Source organism: Homo sapiens, chromosome 7 (assembly GCF_000001405.40).
Source record: "Homo sapiens chromosome 7, GRCh38.p14 Primary Assembly".
NCBI lineage: Eukaryota > Metazoa > Chordata > Mammalia > Primates > Hominidae > Homo > Homo sapiens.
Window position 1 is genome coordinate 15,116,667 of NC_000007.14, and position 19,406 is coordinate 15,136,072.

At 36.3% G+C, this 19,406-nt stretch overlaps 1 protein-coding gene across 1 annotated transcript in view; it reads right to left on the reverse strand.

Annotated features, from left to right (window-relative positions):
- Positions 1–556: 556 nt before the first annotated feature.
- The window catches only part of AGMO (alkylglycerol monooxygenase), a 444,793-nt gene continuing 425,943 nt past the window's right edge, over positions 557–19,406 (reverse strand). Inside the window, exon 17 of the transcript XR_001744759.1 lies at positions 557–623. The gene's annotated coding sequence lies outside the window, so the exon portion shown is untranslated. The remainder of the gene's footprint in view (positions 624–19,406) is intronic.

The window sequence follows — 19,406 nt, forward strand, 5'->3', positions numbered from 1 at the left end:
TACATCAAAGAGGAAACATGGATGGCAAAGAAACACACTATTAGTAATAAGGGCAATGTAAATATAACTACCAAGAGATATTGCGCCTATTAGAATGTGAAAGTCAAAACGCAAATAGATGACACCAAGTGCTGATAAGGAGTACAGCAATTGCAACTCTCATACATTGCTCCTAGAAAAGCAAAATGGTACAGAAACCTTGGAAAACACTTTGGCCGTTTCTTAATATTAAAATGTATACTTACCTACATGCCAGTAATACTGTTTCTAGGCAGTTTCCCACAATAAATAAAAATACATGTCTACACCAAGACCTGTATGCAAACATTCACAGCAGCCTTATACTTTACACCAAAAATTATAAACAACCCTAATATCAGTCAGCTGGTGAGTGGGCAACTAAATTGTGACAATGGTATCACTGAGCAATAAAAAGAAGCAAACTGCTGATACATGTAATGACATAGATGGCCCTAAAAGGCATTAGGCTAAATAAAAGAGGTTACATACAAAATACTGTTACTTATAATTACCTTGATATCACATTCTAATAAAGGCAAACATACAGCCACAGAAATCAGATTAGCGGTTTCCAAGGCTTGGGGATGATAGGAGGGTAATAACTGCAAAGGAACAAGAGAGGACTTTATTAGGATCATGTAACCGATGTAATGGATACTATGTAAATGTCCATAACTGACTTGTAGGAACATTTCTAACTTTTTAGGGTAATATTCTACACCTTGATTGTTGTGATGGTTATATGACTTTGTACATTTGTCAAAATGCAAAGAATTTTAATTCTAAAAAGAATAAATTTCACTGTTTGTAAATTAGTGCTCCAATATACCTAACTTTTGAGGGAAGGAGGGGAGTGAGGGTTGAAAAAAATTACCTACTGGGTACACTGTTCAGTATTTGGGTGATGGGTACACAAGAAACCCAATCCTCACCATGACACCTATAATACCCATGTAACAAGTACATGTACTCCTTGAACGTGAAATTTTTAAAGAGAAGTAATTGAAGAAAATTATAGATAGAAATGTCCACATGGCCGCATGCTTTCTTATCTACTGTTACGTCCAATGAGAAAACTTCAGATGGGTGTTGGATTAAGCAAAAGATAGGTAAAGTGCTCAGCCACATTTAAGGGTACAGGAGAGGAGAATCTAGTATATTATGGTTTATTGATGTATTTATTATTCTCCTATCTGCTGCTCTCAGTTCTAAATCTCTTTTAGATGAGGTTTTCTTTTTTAATTGAAACTGCGAAGTTTGATGAAACCATATTTCACCCAACAATGGCATTGATTACAGACATGAAATGAATGCTTTTTAAATACCTTCAGCCAAAATACAAAAGAAATTTTCTTATTGCAAACATAATTTCCCTGTGTAATGTTGCTTGAAAAGTTGACCAACTAAATATCAATATTATAAAACAGTCAAACATGCATGAGAGTCAAGGTTAAATTGGCCGGAATTTAAAAACCACTAAAGAGAAACACACACACACACACACACACACACACACACACACATATATACAAACAGATAAATATTTCAGATAGAACATCCAAAATTCATTCAATGGAATACAATTCTATAGTCTGAACTCATTATTGGCTCAAAAATCAGATATTGACCATAATGAAACATGCAGAAGGATCTTTTAGGGGAGATTATAGTTACATGCAATTATCTGCTATTCCATTTACACTGACAGAGAAGCTATATTCTCCAGGGAGCAATTTTTACTTAGACAGAGAGTTGTCACTATTGATTATAGAAAACTGATCATGTTTTCTCAGCATAAGCTCACTTGGTCTATCACAGTTTCCCTATCTAACAAAAAACAGCTTTCCTATCTAACAAAAATCATTGACTTCCTTGTTGATTTGCCTTATGTGTTAACATTTCTAATATCTTCCGTGTAGGTATGTTACTAATGACACTTTTCATAGTTATGAAACCAGAGAAGTGATGAGTATAATTTGCCTTTGTCAACCACTGATTATCTCTGCTAAAGGAAGCTCAGCTCAATATGACTAGATAAGTAAACCTCTTTTAAAAGCTATTGGTCTTCAACCCTGGTTTTCCATTAGTACCACCTGAGGAGCTTTAAAAAATACAGAAACTTAGTGTCACATTTCCAGTTCTCTCACCCCAGATATTTCAGTGTCTTGGATAATTCCCAGACGTCAGTATTTTTTTTTTTTTTTTTTTTTTTTTTTTTTTTTTTTTTTGAGACAGAGTCTCTCTCTGTTGCCAGGCTGGAGTGCAGTGGCACGATAGAAAACACAGAATTAAGCTATTGGGGTTTTTTTTTCCTTCTTTTGACCTTTATAAGAACTAGATATGAGTGGAAAATTGATTGATATTAATTTCACTAATAGTGATTCCTCCCACCTGCTCTGAGAGCAAGACATGAACAGTGAAGGAGTTCTGGGCATCTGATATGGTTTAGATCTGTGTCCCCACCCAAATCTCATGTTGAAATGTAATCCCCAATGCTGGTCGTGGGCCCTGGTGAGAGGTGATTAGATCTCCTGCTCTGGCCATGTGAAGTGCCTCACTTCCCATTTGCCATCTGCCATGATTGAAAGCTTCCTGAGGCCTCCCCAGAAGTTGATGCTGCCATGCTTCCTGTACAGCCTGCAGAACTGTGAGCCAATTAAACCTCTTTTCTTTATAAATTACCCAGTCTTGGGTGTTTCTTTATACCAGTTTAATACTTATAATTTCTACAATCTTAAATTTTTAACCTAACAACTTTTAACTATCCTCTACTGTCTTGATGTCTCTCTTACTTCCTTACCCAGCTTAAATTCTAAGGTCAGTCATCATAAACATTTCCTTGCATACATCCTCAGCTTCCTTGCAACATCTCTGACTTTATAAAACTTGTTTGGCCAAGTATATCCAATGTATTAATCCCTTCATTCTTGCAGCTGAGTGTGGCTGGAGAAAAACACACAACCTGTTGATTGGTTTTGCTTTTAATACATGACCAGAAACCTCATATGGGCCCTTTATGCTTCCATACAATTATACTATATGCAATTATAGACATTCTTTTTCTTAACTAGACACTTTTTCCCCTAGCCTCAATCTGAGCTAATTATTTTATATCTTACAGAGAAAATGGAAACAATTAGAAAAGAACTTTTGGATATTTCCATCACGTATCTTCCAACCTCCCAGCATTAGTTTTCACACCCTCTGCCTTATAAATGTAGCACCAGAGATAAATCATGCATGCTTTTTTTTTTTTTTTCTAAATCCAGTTTCTCCTCTTCTGCACTGGTTCCTCTCCTGGATCGCCTACTTAAGAACATCTTTCCAACAATTCACACCTTGAAATCCCATTTTTGAGTGTTTACTCATTACTAGATCTTTTCCGTTGACATAGACAGTATGCTGCAATTTACCCTCTCCCTACCAAAATCAAAAACAAAAACCAAAAAAGAACAAAAAAGCTCAATTTTTTTTAGATCTTTCATTTACTGTCTCCACTTCCTTTTCTCCCATTCTCTTTGAAGTCACCCCCACTAGATTTTACCCTCACCACTCCACTAAAAATGCTTTCCCAAGGTCACCAGTGATGTTCAAACTGATAAATCCAATGGTTGATCCTAAGATCTCATTTTAATTGACATATCAGAAGCGTTTGACCCTGATGATTAGTTCTTCCTTCTTAATATATATTAATATGTTATGGACTAAATGTTTGTGTCCTCCCTGAATTCCTATGTTAAATCGCTAACCCCAATGTAAGGGTATTTGGAAATGGAGCCTTCGGGAGGTAATTAGTTATAGATAATGTCACAAGGATGGGACTCCATGATAGGATTAGTGTCCTTAGAAGAAGGAAGACTACAACTCCTTCTCTCCACCCTGTGAGGACACATCCAGAAGAAGGTCTTCAGCAAACCAGGATGTGGTACCTCACCTAGAAATAAATCAGTGTGCATCTTAAACTTGGACTCCCCACCCTCCAGAACTGTAAAAAATACATGGCTGTTGTTGAAGCCACATAGTCTACAGTATTTTAGTAAAGCGACCTGAGCTAAGATAATATATTTCTTTCTTTCTTTTTTTTCTTTTTTTGAAGTTTTCACAGTATTTCTAATGAGGTTCTTTTTTAAATTTTTATTTAGGTTTTGGGATACATGTGCTGAGAGTGCAGGTTTGTTACACAAGTATACACGTGCCACAGTGATTTGCTGCACCTATCAACCCGTCTTCCAGGTTTTAAGCCCTGCATGCATTAGGTATTTGTCCTAATGCTCTCCCTTCCCTTTCTGCCCACCCCCAGACAGGCCACCGTGTGTGATGTTCCCCTCCCTGAGTCCATGTGTTCTCATTGTTCAGTTCCCACATGTAAGTGAGAACATGCAGTGTTTTGTTTTCTGTTCCTGTGTTAGTTTGCTGAGGATGACGGCTTCCAGCTTCATCCATGTCCCTGCAAGGACACAAATTCATTCTTTTTTATGGCTGCATAGTATTCCATGCTGTATATGTGCCACATTTTCTTTATCCAGTCTATCATTGATGGGCATTTGGGTTGGTTCCAAGTCTTTGCTATTGTAAATAGTGCTGCAATAAACATACATGTGCATGTGTCTTTATAGTAGAATGATTCATAATCCTTTGGGTATATACCCAGTGATGGGATTGCTGGGTCAAATGATATTTCTTGTTCTAGATCCTTGAGGAATCACCACACTGTCTTCCACAATGGTTGAACTAATTTACACTCCCACCAACAGTGTAAAAGCGTTCCTATTTCTCCACATCCTCTCTAGCATCTGTTGTTTCCAGACTTTTTAATGAACACCCTTCTAACTGGTATGAGATGGTATCTCACTATGGTTTTGATTTGCATTTCTCTAATAACCAGTGATGATGAACTTTTTTTCATATATTTGTCAGCTGCATAAATGTAGCCAAGACAATCCTAAGCTAAAAGAACAAAGCTGGAGGCATCATGCTACCTGACTTCAAACTACGGAAGGCTACAGTAACCAAAACAGCATGACACTGGTACCAAAACTGATATATAGACCAATGGAACAGAACAGAGGCCACACATCTACAATGATCTGCTCTTCAACAAACCTGACAAAAACAAGCAACGGGGAAAGGATTCCCTACTTAATAAATGGTGCTGGAAAAACTGGCTAGCCACATGCAAAAAACTGAAACTTCCTAACACATTAAACAAAAATTAACTCAAGATGGGTTAAAGGCTTAAATGTAAAACCTAAAACCATTAAAAACCCTGGAAGAAAACCTAGGCAATACCATTCAGGACATATGCATGGACAAAGACTTCACGACTAAAACACCAAAATCAATTGCGACAAAAGCTAAAATTGACAAATGGGATATAATTAAACTAAAGAGCTTCTGCTCAGCAAAAGAAACTATCACCAAAGTGAACAGGCAACCTACAGAATGGGAGAAAAGTTTTGCAATCTATCCATTTGTCAAAGGTCTAATATCCAAAATCTCCAAGGAACTTAAACAAATTTACTAGAAAAAAACAACCCCATCAAAAAGTGGGCAAACGATATGAACAGACACTTCTCTCTTTCTTAATCTACTTTGTTCATGCCTCAATTTCTTCCCAACCCCTTAATGTCAGACTATCCATATGCTCATTCATTGTTCCTGTGTACTTCTGTATCTGCAGTCACCGTCTTTGTTCACATCAGATTTCATGGCTTTAAATAGAATCAATGCACCAATTGCTAAATTAACATTTCCAGCTCAGACTTCTCTCCCAAACTACAGATTCATACGTTCAATTGCTTATAAACATCTCTACCTGTTATTCTAATAGGGATTTCAAATCAACATTTCCAAAATGAGCTCCTAATCTGCTCACCCTCTCCCTAACCTGCTCCTCCAGAAATCTGTCTTACTCCACGTCACTCACATTTCTACCCTTTCGCTTGCTCAAGCCAAAACCATTGCATTCCACTTTGAGTCTTCTATTTCTCTAACAGTCACATCCATTCTCTAAGAAATACTGTTTTTATAAAATTTCAAAAATCTGTCCACAATGCAACCACTTCTACCTTCACAGCTTCCACCCTGGTATAAGCCACTACCATGTCTATTATGATACACTTATTTGTTTTCCTCACTTCTCTCCTGATTTCTATATTCTGCTTTAACAGAGTGGCCAGAGTGAAACATTTAAAACTTAAATATAATCATGTCACTACTCTCCTCAAAACATTCCACTCAGAGTAAAAAACAAAGTCCTCATGGTTGCCCACAGGATAGTATATAATCTGGCCCTCCTGATGCTTTCTGACATGTTTTCCTAATCCCTGTCATGCTTTCTTTTCTTGAACAACACCAGCCTCCTTACCGTTTTTAGAGCATGCTAGTTGTGCTCTTGCCCTAGGGACCTAGACTATTTTTTTCTCTTTCTGTTGTTTTCTTTTCCCAAATATCTGCATAATCAACTCCTTCACCTCCAGCAAGTCTTAGCTAGAAACTCATCTGCTCAATGATCTCTATTTTGATTTACAACTTAAATTCAACAGCTCACCCCTGAAAAGTCTATTCTTATTTACTGTCCTTTATTTTTGTTTATCTACAGAACTTCCAACATCCTAAGATAGTATACAGTTTAGCTATTAAGTATGTTGCACCTTTGTTTTGTATACTAGACTGTAAGCCATATGAGATCTGAGAAGTTATTTTTTCAATGTATCCTAAGTGCCTAGTGTTGTACTTGGCATAGAGAAGGCCCTCAATAATATTTGCGAATGAAAAAAAAATGAACAAAAAACAAAGGGATGAATGAATCATGAATGAATACTTATATTCACACAGGACTTCAAAATTTACAATGCTCTCTAACATGTTACTATACTTGACTCTCATCACAGACTTTTGATAATGTATAAATAGCTACTCCTACTTTAAAATGAGTCTTCAAGACCTGCTAATCTCTTCTCTCTCCTAGTTAGAAACATGAACATAAGATAAATTAGAAATCATAAACTAAGTTTGAGCCTGGTCATTATGCTTCACTGAAAAAAGTGGTATTAAAAAAAAGAGAAATTAGCTATTATCAATTTCTGCTGAAGTAATTTAATTGACTCAGGTTTTAAATAAAATCATTGATGAGTTTATTTAGATCACATAAAAACTGACATGAGCAGCAGTAAAATGAAGTAATTTATTCCAGTAAAGTGAGCGTACGCTTTGCTGGGACAGGTTTCTTACTCAGATAACTTTTTGTAGCACTTCTATTCAATCTGTATCAGTACCATCTCAAATATTCTTATGACGTGTCTCGCATTAGTACCTTGTAGTACAGCCAGAGTGTTTTAAAAAGCTTGTGGTTTTTATGATATTTAGAATCAAGACCTGCAGTAGAGATGGCATAACTGATTAAAAGGCAGTCCCTCACAGCCATTGTTTCCCACATAGAGTTTCACTGTGTGCCTGCACTAAAAGGCAGGCAAAACAAAACAAAACAAAACCCCAAACCGACCAACCACCCAACCAGCAAACCTGTTAACAGAATTACTCTTTGTTTCATGATGGCTGACTGGTTTTTTCCCTACCTTGCCTTTCACCTGAGCCACTTATCTCTGTGGTAGCCATGGTGCCTCCTTGGTAATGTTCTTTTTGTATGATCCAATATGCGTGGCCAGATTTTTTCCATAGTCAGTTTGGATTGCCAGTTATCACGGCAATAGAATTTTCCAACAGTCTATGTTGTGTTGTTTTGGCCTAACATGAGCCAGGATACAAGAAGAGCCCATAAAGAAATTGGGGCAATTTACAGTTTTCAATCAGGTCACTGAACTTGAATCAGATAAAGCTTCTCCTGCTTAAATTTGCTGACATATTCTCCTGTTGAAAATATTAAATTTGCTGACATACTCTCCCAGTCTTCTGATCTTTAGAAGGAAGCTAGAGATGGTGTTGTCCTCCTCTCCAACTCTTTAGAATTCAAAAGATTTCTTTTCTTTATAACTAAAGATGGACATGTTTCAACATTGGAGTGTTTACCAGATTTTACATTTGATTCAGGGATAATATCAATTAACCACTTCTCAGGATGTTATGCAAATGCTAGGATTCTTGTAACTGGATTCAGAAATTCAGCAAGTGTTCCTGAAAATAGTGCCTCCCACAAAGGCTGAAGTCATGGAAGCACTTAAGTTATAAAACTGAACAAGATACAGTGGAGCTGCTGCTAACTAGAACATAGTCTAATGGCTGAACATAGAGGGGGGACACAGAAATCAGTCACAAAAGAGAGTTTGGTAAATTTTATAACAAATTTATGAAATAATGTGAACATATAAAAAAAGGGAAGGTTAAAACAGTATTTTTGGAATGGGATGCCTTCAGAAAAGAAATGACAGTTGAGCTAGGAACCACCTACTGGGAGTATTTTTCATCGCATCCAAAACCAAGATACCTGTATGTGCAAGCTCTTGTCTGTTTTATAACCCATGCAAACAGTATTATGCAGTTTGTTCACTTTGAGAAGATATTTGATAGCTGCTTCTCCAGTTGAAATGTTGAACATTTAATCAGAAGGCAAGAGTTTGCCCTCAGAGCACAGAGGCTGGAATTGTGACTTCCTTCTTCCCTCTTCTGTGCCCTACTCACAGAATGACCAGTGAGGTTTGCAGTCTGCAGTTTGTGGCTAGAAGTGCAGTGGAGGTAGGCTTCTACTCAGACTACTACCAAGAGCCCCATAGCTTAATGCTAAGATGTGACTGATTTTGATATAAAAATCATAGAGTAATAACTTTTTAAATAACTTCCAACTTTTTGAAGTATGCCTCTGCCTCATCTACAGAATGCTTTAGCTATTATTACTCTCTTCCTGTGGCAATCCTCTCTATTTTTTTAAACACTCTTGCAATAGTGTTTATGCTTACCAGGTGTCTTCTGTTTCTCTTCCAGACAATACGTATATATGACCATCAGCTTAGAAAAAAGAGGCCTTAAGTAAACTAGCCAATCGATTGGTCCTTAAAGAATCAAGAAAGAAGATTCAACAATAGTTACATAAAAATTAGAAGGTGTTCTATCTCAAAAGGAGCAGATCCTAGAACAAGCAAAAATTAAATAGACATGGGTATGAATCCTAGCTCTGTCATCTATATGAGTTTAGACAAATTATTTAGTCTCTGTGAATCTCAATTTTCTTATGTAATAGAGAAATATCTCCTACATTTAAAAATCATTGTAAGCGTTAAAGAAAATATCTGTAAGTCACCAAATACAGCACCTGGTACTTAACAGGTACTTAATAGTATATTAATTAGTAATGAATGCTATTCAAATGCTAGGATTGCTTGTAACTAGCTTCAGGCATTTGGTGAAGTACCACAGTCTACTCCAAAATGAGCTAGGAGCTAGGCACACAGAAGCCTCCTTCAGATGAGACACACATAGCATAATAGAAACTACACTCAGTTTGAAATGAGAAGACTTGGGTTCTGATTTAGACATTACCACCTACTAGCTGTATATTTTCATAAAAAATACTTAAACTCTTTAAGTCTGTTTTTTATATAAAGCCAATGCTAACATTATCTTAGTAACATTTTAAATATAAATGAGGTGTTTGTATAATGGAGCCTACACTGTGAAGTTAAAAAATATGCAAGAAATGTAATCACATCCAAATTTATATGAATCATAGAGCATGATTATTGGCTAAAAACTATTAAGTTATTGTAGTTGCCCCTTACTGTGCTCTATTACTGCCTGTAATCATGGGAAATAAAGAATGTGTACTCCTGATAGTTACCTATGAAATAAAGTTCAAGTGATCAAATCCAAAAGTGAAAAATAAACTTGCGGACTAAGCTCTGATTTTTTTATAATCTTGCCCCAATTCCTGTCTAAGGGTCTGGGGAGTCATGCCCTACAAACCATAAATTCTCATCAGAAAGGTTTTATTTAACCGTGGATATTGTGACTTACTTTTCAATCTGACTCTGGCATACCAAGGAAGAAAATCAAAATATTTTACCCCAAAGCACGTTTCTCTGACATATCTTGAAATAACCCTGCAAAGCTGTCCCTTGTGGGAAAAATCCACATTCTATAGAGAATCCTCTTTCCCCTTGTTTTCCTTCCTTCCTTTTCAGATCCAAGGAATAATCAACTAAGAGCCAGGCACCCTTTTAGGTCTGATAAGAAACATTTTACAACCTGCTGTCTCTGAAGTCTGCTATCTGAGAGCTTCCTCTGCACAACAACACTTGGCCTCCACAATCCTTTATCTTAACCCAAACATTTCCTTTCTATTGATCCCAGGTCTTCAGATAAACTCAGCTAATTGTCAACCAGAAAATGTGTAAATTTACTTACAGCCTGGAAGCCCCCTCACCAGCTTTGAGTTGTCCCATCTTTCTGAACCAAACCAATGTATTTCTTAGATGTATTTGATTGATGTCTCATGCCTCCCTAAAATATATTAAACCAAGCCGTACCCTGACCACCTCGGGCACATGTTCTCAGGACCTCCTGAGGGCTGTGTCACAGGCCATGGTCACTCATATTTGGCTCAGAATTAATCTCTAAAATATTTTACAGAGTTTGACTCTTTTCATCAACAAACACATATAAATAAATGATTTTAAGACTCATTGTTGCCAAGGTATTCTTTTTATAATATGGCACCATTGTTGCCTTTTGTGTTGAAATAACAAAAATTTTCTCAACCTTAGAACTTAACGAGTAATACGTAAATAAATCTTCAGAAAAAAATTATCTAGTATATGTTGACAGTTCTCCAAGATCTTTTGACATTGAGAGCAAGCTTATTAAATTCACTCTAATAGAAGATACCAAGGGAAATACGTTCCAAATTAATGACTGTCTCCTTTCAAAGATCAGGTAATAATACTTCACTTAGCTAGTCTAGATAAAGAAGTCTAAATCATCCCATAACAAAATTCATAGATTAAAATTGAGGGATTACTGTAGAATTATTGCTAAGAATAGCTTTTCTAAAATTATCTGCAACTGGATTTTATATTTCTATTTAAGCAATATTCTTAAGTCAATATTTTAATGAAATCACATGTTCATTGTTCTATAAAGGCTTTTAAATATTTTATTCTGTGGTTGTAAATTTAACTTCTAATTATTTTTTGAGTTTTGGAAATGTAGTAAAAATAGCTTTTTTTAGAATCCATCTGATTTCATGTTTATTTCCCATATCTTCAGGAATTTACGGTGTTTTCTTCACCCCTTTCTCCATTAGTGACATGTTTGTTCCCTCCCTCCTTCAATTCCTGCCATCCATATTCATATAATTTCCCTAGTTCTGAGCCATTGCTTGTAGTTTGGATATACAACCACAAGGTTCATATTGAATTTTGTGTTTATTTCCTCCTCTCTGTTTAGAGCATCAGTCCTGCCTTTCTTGCCCTGAACCCTGCCAGTGCCACCCAAGTTTGCCTCTTGTTACTAGTGCTTCCTACTCTGGCAGACACCTTCAGAGGAGAAAACAGGTGGCACCAATCCAAACGAGTGTGATAATAGACGTGCTTGGTTTCCCAGGTAGACAAAGAAGCAGCAGCTGTGGTTATATCTCCATACAGCTGGAGAGAAGAAAGAAAGAAAAGGAAGAGATGAATTTAATGAAATTGAACAAACTCTTCAATTTCCCAAAGTCACCAGTACAATAGAAGATATGCTGGGTGAATTACTTTTCTAAAACAAATTTTAATTTATTTTTTTATTAGTAGTCACTTATCAGTGCCTATAAAACTGTTGTTTATATGCTTGCTATGGACTTTGTGATAATTCATTTGAATGCGTAATTTGTCTTAGTTCTTTACATAAAGCTTAGCTCTCTAATTGAAGACAAGATTATTTCTTATTGTTTATAAATAATTTTGGAATCAGTGATACTCAACTAAAATATATATAAAGTAAAAGTATATAAGTATATATATCTGTATGTGTATGTGCATATGTAGAAAAAAGAAAGTTACCCATTACATCTAATCTATGCCCCAGAAATAATCATTTGAAACAGTTTAAAATGTACCTTAAAACCAAGTGTAATCTAAAATCTTATGAATATGCTTTAAGAACATTAGCATGTAGTAGAAATAGACAATCAGCACTTAAATTAGCATGAGGAAAGCCTGTTTATTAAGAGCTTGCTGTAGCTAGGGAGTCAGCCAATGTCACTTTGCTATAGCTAGGGAGTCAGCCAATGTCGCTCACATTTGGCAGATACTCAAAGGCAGTCAGGGTTGTCAAGAGCTTTATAGTGAAAAAAGGAAAGGCTTCAGGTTTCTCCTAATTGGAGGCTGTTTGAATGCGGGTGGTGGTGGGCTTACTAGAAGTGGGGCATCCTATGTGATTAGTTGGGAAGCATGTTTGGCTTTCACTGGTTGATCCTGAGTTGTGGGCAGGTAAGAGAGGGGGAAAGGACAGGTGAGCTGAAGTCTTGGACCAAGTCAATCATCAAAGTATGATTGCTACATAAGTGTGGTTTGACTTCTGAAATTAGTTGCTGCAGAAGTTGTTGCTCGGTTTCCAGGGCTGGTTGCTACAGGGTTGTAGGTTAGTGTTCTCTTTTACTTATAGTGCCTGGCCATTGTTCAGTTGTATATCCAGCTTCTCAGTTAACACATAAATCCATTTTATTTCTACCATGTAGTTTACCAAATTATTTCAGAGAACATGTATAGGAAATCAGAAATGAATAAAATATAGGAAGATAATTCTATGTGTTTCACATCACATTTAAAGAATCTTTTTTGTGTGAAAAATAAGGAAAGGCAACTCATTCTGACCAATTTAGTATTTCCCATTGTTGTGACTTATAATCACAGAAAAATAATCAGTGTTAGAAAGGTAAAGTCCATATTACTAAAGAGTCACTTAAAAATATATTCTTTAAAGACAACAGCTCTCCTAGGAATACAAACAAAGTATTAGTGGCCCACCACCTGGGGCCAGGATGAAGTATTTTCCCTTAGGGGTAGAGAATTTCATATCCATCCAATTGCATTATGGGTGGTTTTGCCCTGCTTTGGAAGCATCTGGTGGAGACTGCTTCCCAAACAGGATATTGAACAAGAGTTCTGTTCTGGTATGACAATAACCACAGGCAGATCCTGCAAATATTCATTTAGTGATAGGGCCTGCTTAACTCAATACAGCCTTGTTGTCACTTGTCAGGTAAATCAAAGGCACATAGTGTGTATTAAATGCCTGATATTATCTAAGTGTATCAGCCATGCTCGAGTAATCCCAAGGGTTTAATTTAAAGAGAGAATTAGAAAGCCTGTATTGTATAAGAGTTGGGGGTCTAGGACATATGTTCCAGAAATAGGAAATTGCAAAGTGCTACATGCGATTCCTCCCCCTTTGCAATTTTAATATCTTAGTTTATTGGGCATATGAATCAAACTAGAAATATAGTTTTATTTTATTATAGTTAGCATAAAATATATTTAAAATTGCTCTCTGTCCACCCAGCTTTGTTTAGAGTAATGATTTTCAAATTATTATGATAATTATATTTCAGAACTCTTAATATTTATTTTCCTTTTTTTCTTTCATGTTTCAAAGTGTCATGTCTTTTAATCTCTCACTTACCCCACCTTTTTTTTTCTGACAATAGTCAAATTCTATTTTTATTATTTTTGTTATTGTTTTGCTTTTTTCTCTCCTAGAACTAAAAATAATTTTCCAGAACAAGACATTTTCTTGAATGTTAATAGCGTATTTTCAACATCTTTCTCCACTCCTCACTCTCCACTCAGGCCCCCTAAAAATGATAAGCCCTGGAAATTGTTTAAAACATTGTTCTATTACGATATTTCACAAAAAGGTTCTCTAATTGCTATAAAATGTGGCAAAGAATACTACAGCACAAGAAGTGGACAAGGAAAGGAACGATTGAAAATAGGGGAACAGATTAGGATATTAATAGTTAAATTATGTTAGCTATATAATTGTTAGAATTAATACACTTTGCTATTGGTTTTATAGTGAAGAATATTTTGTGTTTGTTAAAATATTGCTTAAAGGAATACAGAAGTGAGAAAATACAGTGTTGAAATGATGACATCACTTTAATCTCAGTGATATGTCTGGCATTTATGTGTGTGCTATGTATATATACAAAGATATTTATCAGGAGTGAGTAATACATGAGCAATGCTTTTCATTTTTTTCTTGAGCATTCCATCTGCTCTATTGTTTGAAATAATTAACTTCCTTTAACATAGAACCTTGGCTTATGAAAAAGAATTTTAAAAGATCAGAATAATTTATTAAGCTTCAAAAACTTTTGAGCTTCTAATTGCCAATAGCTATATCATTCTGTTTCAAATTTTTGCTTGTATTTCTGTGTGTGTGTGTGTGTGCATGAAACCACTTATGTAAAACAGGAGGCAACTTTGGAAACATATATCAGAAGGAGGCGTTCTTTTCATAGCCTCATAGGAGTCTCGGTTTAAACAATGATTTCATCAACATACAGAATCTTGTTGATCTGTAGAACAGTTTTCATCATTGACGAATAAAGCAGTATTTTAGGAAGGGCATAAAGTTGCTGAATTATTTGCAAAGTGGAGTTAGAGCTCCATAACTTAAAATATAACAGGATGTAATGCTAGTCATCCCTTGGACTCCAGAACTGGTTTAAATTATATTAACTCCTGGGCAGCACAGCTCCAACTTACAAACCTCAGTGCTTTTTCTCCCTCTCCTTATCTCCATTCCAATAAGGCATAAACAAATGAGTTGACTCTTGTTAGTGACAGGGAAATAATGGCGTGGACACCCCAAAGATAAGTTGAAATCATTTCTGCCTAGACTATGGCACAAGTTGTGGATGAAGATTACATAAATTGTTTGACTACTTAGCAGAATTTGTTTTTATCCTGCATTTTTCAGTGTTCCACAAATAGTACATGATATATTCAAAACAGGGCAGTTGGAGGCTAGTTCATTAAAGGGGCAATTTATAAATGTAGGGATAAGATGTAGAGAAAGACCTAGTAACAGAAAAGCTGTTATCACACTTAGGCTTAAAAAGCCAAAGAAATTAACACACACACACACACACACACACACACACACAAACAAGGTAGGAGTAATTCCTGGCACACATGGAAGCCAAAAGGAGACAGCTGGGTAGAGCAAGCTGCCATGAGAACAACTGCAATCCTGAGTTGAGGAAATGCAACCAGCCCAAGGCAACCCCACAGAGAAGGATCTAGAGTGATAAAAATTCTGAATCCACTCTCCTGTCTGCCTCCAAGCTCCTGCTGGACTCACAATTGTCCAAATCTTATCAGAAAGCGGGGAATTAGAACACTTGTAGCTGCATGCATACAGGCCAGCCTTCTGAGGCAGAGAGGAGTGGAGATGGGTGCATAAGGGATTTGAAGAGCCACACAGAAGATACCATGCAGCACTGGAATTATTACCTGGAGGACATCAAATGAAAATTACAAGAAGACAACTCTGGTGTTCGCTGATATTAGAGGAGTATAAAAAGTGTTGACTTTATTTAGGCATTCATGAATTCATTCAACAACTTATTGTTAGCATTTAAATGAAATACTTCAATATTTCAGGCACTACTCTCAGAGTTGGGATTCAGTTTTTATGAAGCTGATGGTGTGGGAAGACAAATACTAATCAAATGATATCAGCTAATAGTGCTATAAGGACAACAGAAAAATCTGATGTGACTTAGGGTTGCAAGTTTCCTTTTAGGTACAATTGTCAGTGAAGGTGTCTCTGAGGGGATGACACTAACTCCTGGGCAGCACAGCTCCAACTTACAAACCTCAGTGCTTTTTCTCCCTCTCCTTATCTCCATTCCAATAAGGCATAAACAAATGAGTTGACTCTTGTTAGTGACAGGGAAATAATGGCCTGGAAGGTGATACAAGCAAAGTGGATTTAACAACATGGAGGCAACTTGTGACATCAATTTAAAAATCTTGGGAAAGTGATCGTGGCTGAAGATCAACTGGGGTGAGCTGAAAATAGAATGTGAATCAAGGCAGTGAAGACTGTACTCAGATTTTAAGGAGGGAAAATTAAACCATAGATAAATGACAAAGACAATGTGAAGTCAAGGAAGGTTTTTCCCTTATTTGTTTTCATTTTACAACAGGGAGTTATTACAGCTTATTTGTCTGTTAAGAATGATCTGATTCAGGGACATGTGAAGAATTCAGGAGAAAAAGCTCACAATTACAAGTGCTAAGTCTTCAGAAAGGCAAGAGGGATGCAAGAGGGGAGCACGGTTATAATGGTCAACCTTTGACAGAACCATTTCACTATGAAAACAACTGAGAAGGGCAAGAATATGAGTCTAGATATGGTAAGCAATTACATTTACTGGGAAATTGAGCATTTCTTGTAACTTACTCCATTTTATCTATAAAGCTGTGTCAAATTAGCTATTTAGCTTTTTGAGAAGGTTTGAGGAGGGAAGAATAAATGTGACATAATCCTGTATGAGAGTGGGAAAGAGTATGCTAGGAAATGATTGACAAGCAGTGCAATAACCTATTTAGGAATTGCAGGCATAACTTCAGGACAGTAACTGTTCCTTTTGTGTAAGTGTCTGTAGCAATATCCAGCTACTCAGGTAAAGACAAAATGAAAGTGGACAATTGTTTTCAACAACTGAACAGGTGGAGACAATAAAGGAAGATGGCAAAAGTGCTGAAATGGTTTCAGTTGAGTAGTTATTGTACGGATCATGGACTCTAAGGAAGTAGGGAGGGAAGACAACAGGGAAGAGATAGAATGGAGAGAGAATACCATTAGCTGGAGGCTAAAATCATCAGTGAAAAAGGGATAAGGACCAAGAGGCAAGTCAGTGGCATCAATAAAAATAGGTAAGTAATAAATTCAAAGATATATGAGTCAAAGGAGCTAGGATTTTTTTTTGAAGTATAAAAGTGGACTTAAACAATTGAAGCTACGCAGAGGATGGTGATATATAGGAAAAGTGACATCATCAAGCCTATAATCCCAAAAACTAAATTAGTAACTGTTTTGCCTTTGTTACACCAGAATCCAACATTACCACAACCCAGGTGAGAGTTGGAGGTGAGAACGTCCAGCAGTGACACAAGTCAGCTGTTCTGCCAGCCAAGTGTTCACTCACACAGCTCACCAACACTTCAAATGCCGTGGATCTGAAACTGAACACCTCATCTTTGCCTCCAAACTGGCTTCTTTTCCCAAATATACTGTTTCTGACAATTGTTCCAGTTCTTAAGCACATAAACTTTTGCACACCTTTCTGTTATGGTCCCTATATCATAAATACCATCGAGAGTTTGAGAACACAATTTCTTAACTTTCATTTTAGGTTCGGAGGTACGTGTGCAGGTTTGTTACATGGGTAGACTGCATGTCACAGGGGTTTGATGTACAGATTATTTTTTCACCCAGATAATAAGTGTAGTACCTAATAGGTATTTTATTTTCTTTTTTCTTTTCTGAGACAGGTCTGGCTCTCTCACCCAGGCTGGAGTACAGTGGCATGATTTTGGCTCACTGCAACCTCCACCTACTGAGCTCAAGTGATCCTCCCACTTTAGCCTCCTGAGTAGCTGGGACCACAGGTGTGCACCATGCACCACCATGCCTGGCTAATTTTTGTAATTTTTTTTTGTAGAAATGGGTTTTCACCATGTTGTCCAGGCTGGTCTCAAACTCCTGAGCGTATGCAATACGTCACAATAGATTGTTTTCAACCCTCACTCTCCTCCCACCCTCCACCCTCAAGTAGGCCCTGGTGTTGGTTGTTCCCTTCCTTTTGCCCATGTGCACCCAAAGTTTAGCTCCCACTTAAAAGGCAGAACATGTGGAATTTGGTTTTCTCTTCCTTAATTAGTTGGCTTAGGATATTGACTGCCAGCTCCATCCATGTTGCTCCAAAGTACATGATCTCTTTCTTTTTTATGGCTATGTAGTATCCCATGGTTATATGTACCACATTTTCTTTATCTGGTCTACCTTTGATGGGCATTTACGTTGACTCCACGCCTTTGCTGTTGTGAACAGTGGAGTTGGGGTTTTTGAGGAAGGAAGGGGAAGAAAGCAGTTTGATAGTGAAATTGGGGAACATAAAAGATTTTCTGTAAAACACTTCACATACACGTAACTGAGAGCTAATGGCAATTTAACTAGGGAATTAAATCTAATAAAGTCAACAGTGGAAACTTTTAGTTTACACACGAATGACGTTCACATATTTTCAGTGAATATATCACTCCATGGTAACTCTCCTTATTTCAAGATTACAGATATTAAAAAAACTAAATTACTATCCATCTGATTCCAGGAATAAATTATTTGTAGATAAGTAAATTTTAAATTAGATATATAATATATATAACACATATAATATATAATTTCAAGTATATGCATATAAGTGGAGAACAATAACATAGCTAATCAAAATTTATTTATATGAGTTTGTGTGTGTGTGTGTGTGTGTGTGTGTGTCTGCGTGTGTGTGGCATATACGTGTGCCTATAGTTTTTTCTACCAATCTGATAGCTAAGAGAATTTTTAGCATGATAACAAAGACTCATTCTGAAAATGGAACCCGGGAAGCTATCGAAGCTGATCAGAATCTTTGAACTGCCTCTCTGTTCAAGGTATCCACCACCCTCTAAATGTGGAGAACATCACCTCTCAAATTAGCATCCAGTGACTTCTCTTCATGACTGTAACATCTGCCATGATAAATGAAACAGCCATATATTTTGACTTTATGAGTTTGTCTTCAATGTTTGGAAACAGGCTAGCTTAGAAAATGAATGAAAAGGGTTGTTTTAAATCAAAAACTGCATATTTAAATCACATAATACTGCTGTAAAATCTGTAGTTTTATAAATATTCATTAATATAGTAGTATATCAAATAATAAAAACTTAGGATAAGAAGGAATTATATCTGATACCAAAGTCCTATTCCTCAGAGGACTCTTAAATGTTTCTGTTTTAATTTCTTCTGGTATTCATCTTCATATTTCAAGATAATCTGCTTATTCCTCTATTTCTTAATATGTCAACTTTAGACAATATTCCAACTTTAAACAAATGCATTAATATTCCCATAGGAAAGATGAGGACTTTTTTTTTCCTTTTACTTTCCCTTCTTCCAGCTGTCTTTCTTCAAATACTTGCTACTTATTATTTTAAATGTTCATTTTTAAATTTTGTATTTTTTAGTCATGTAATGAAACAACTATGTTTTTCTCAACATTTAATATTATATTTTTTCTTTTCTTTTTTTTTTTTTTTTGGTTTTTTGTTTTTTGAGACGGAGTTTTGCTCTTGTTGCCCAGGCTGGAGTGCAATGGTGTGATCTCAGTTTACTGC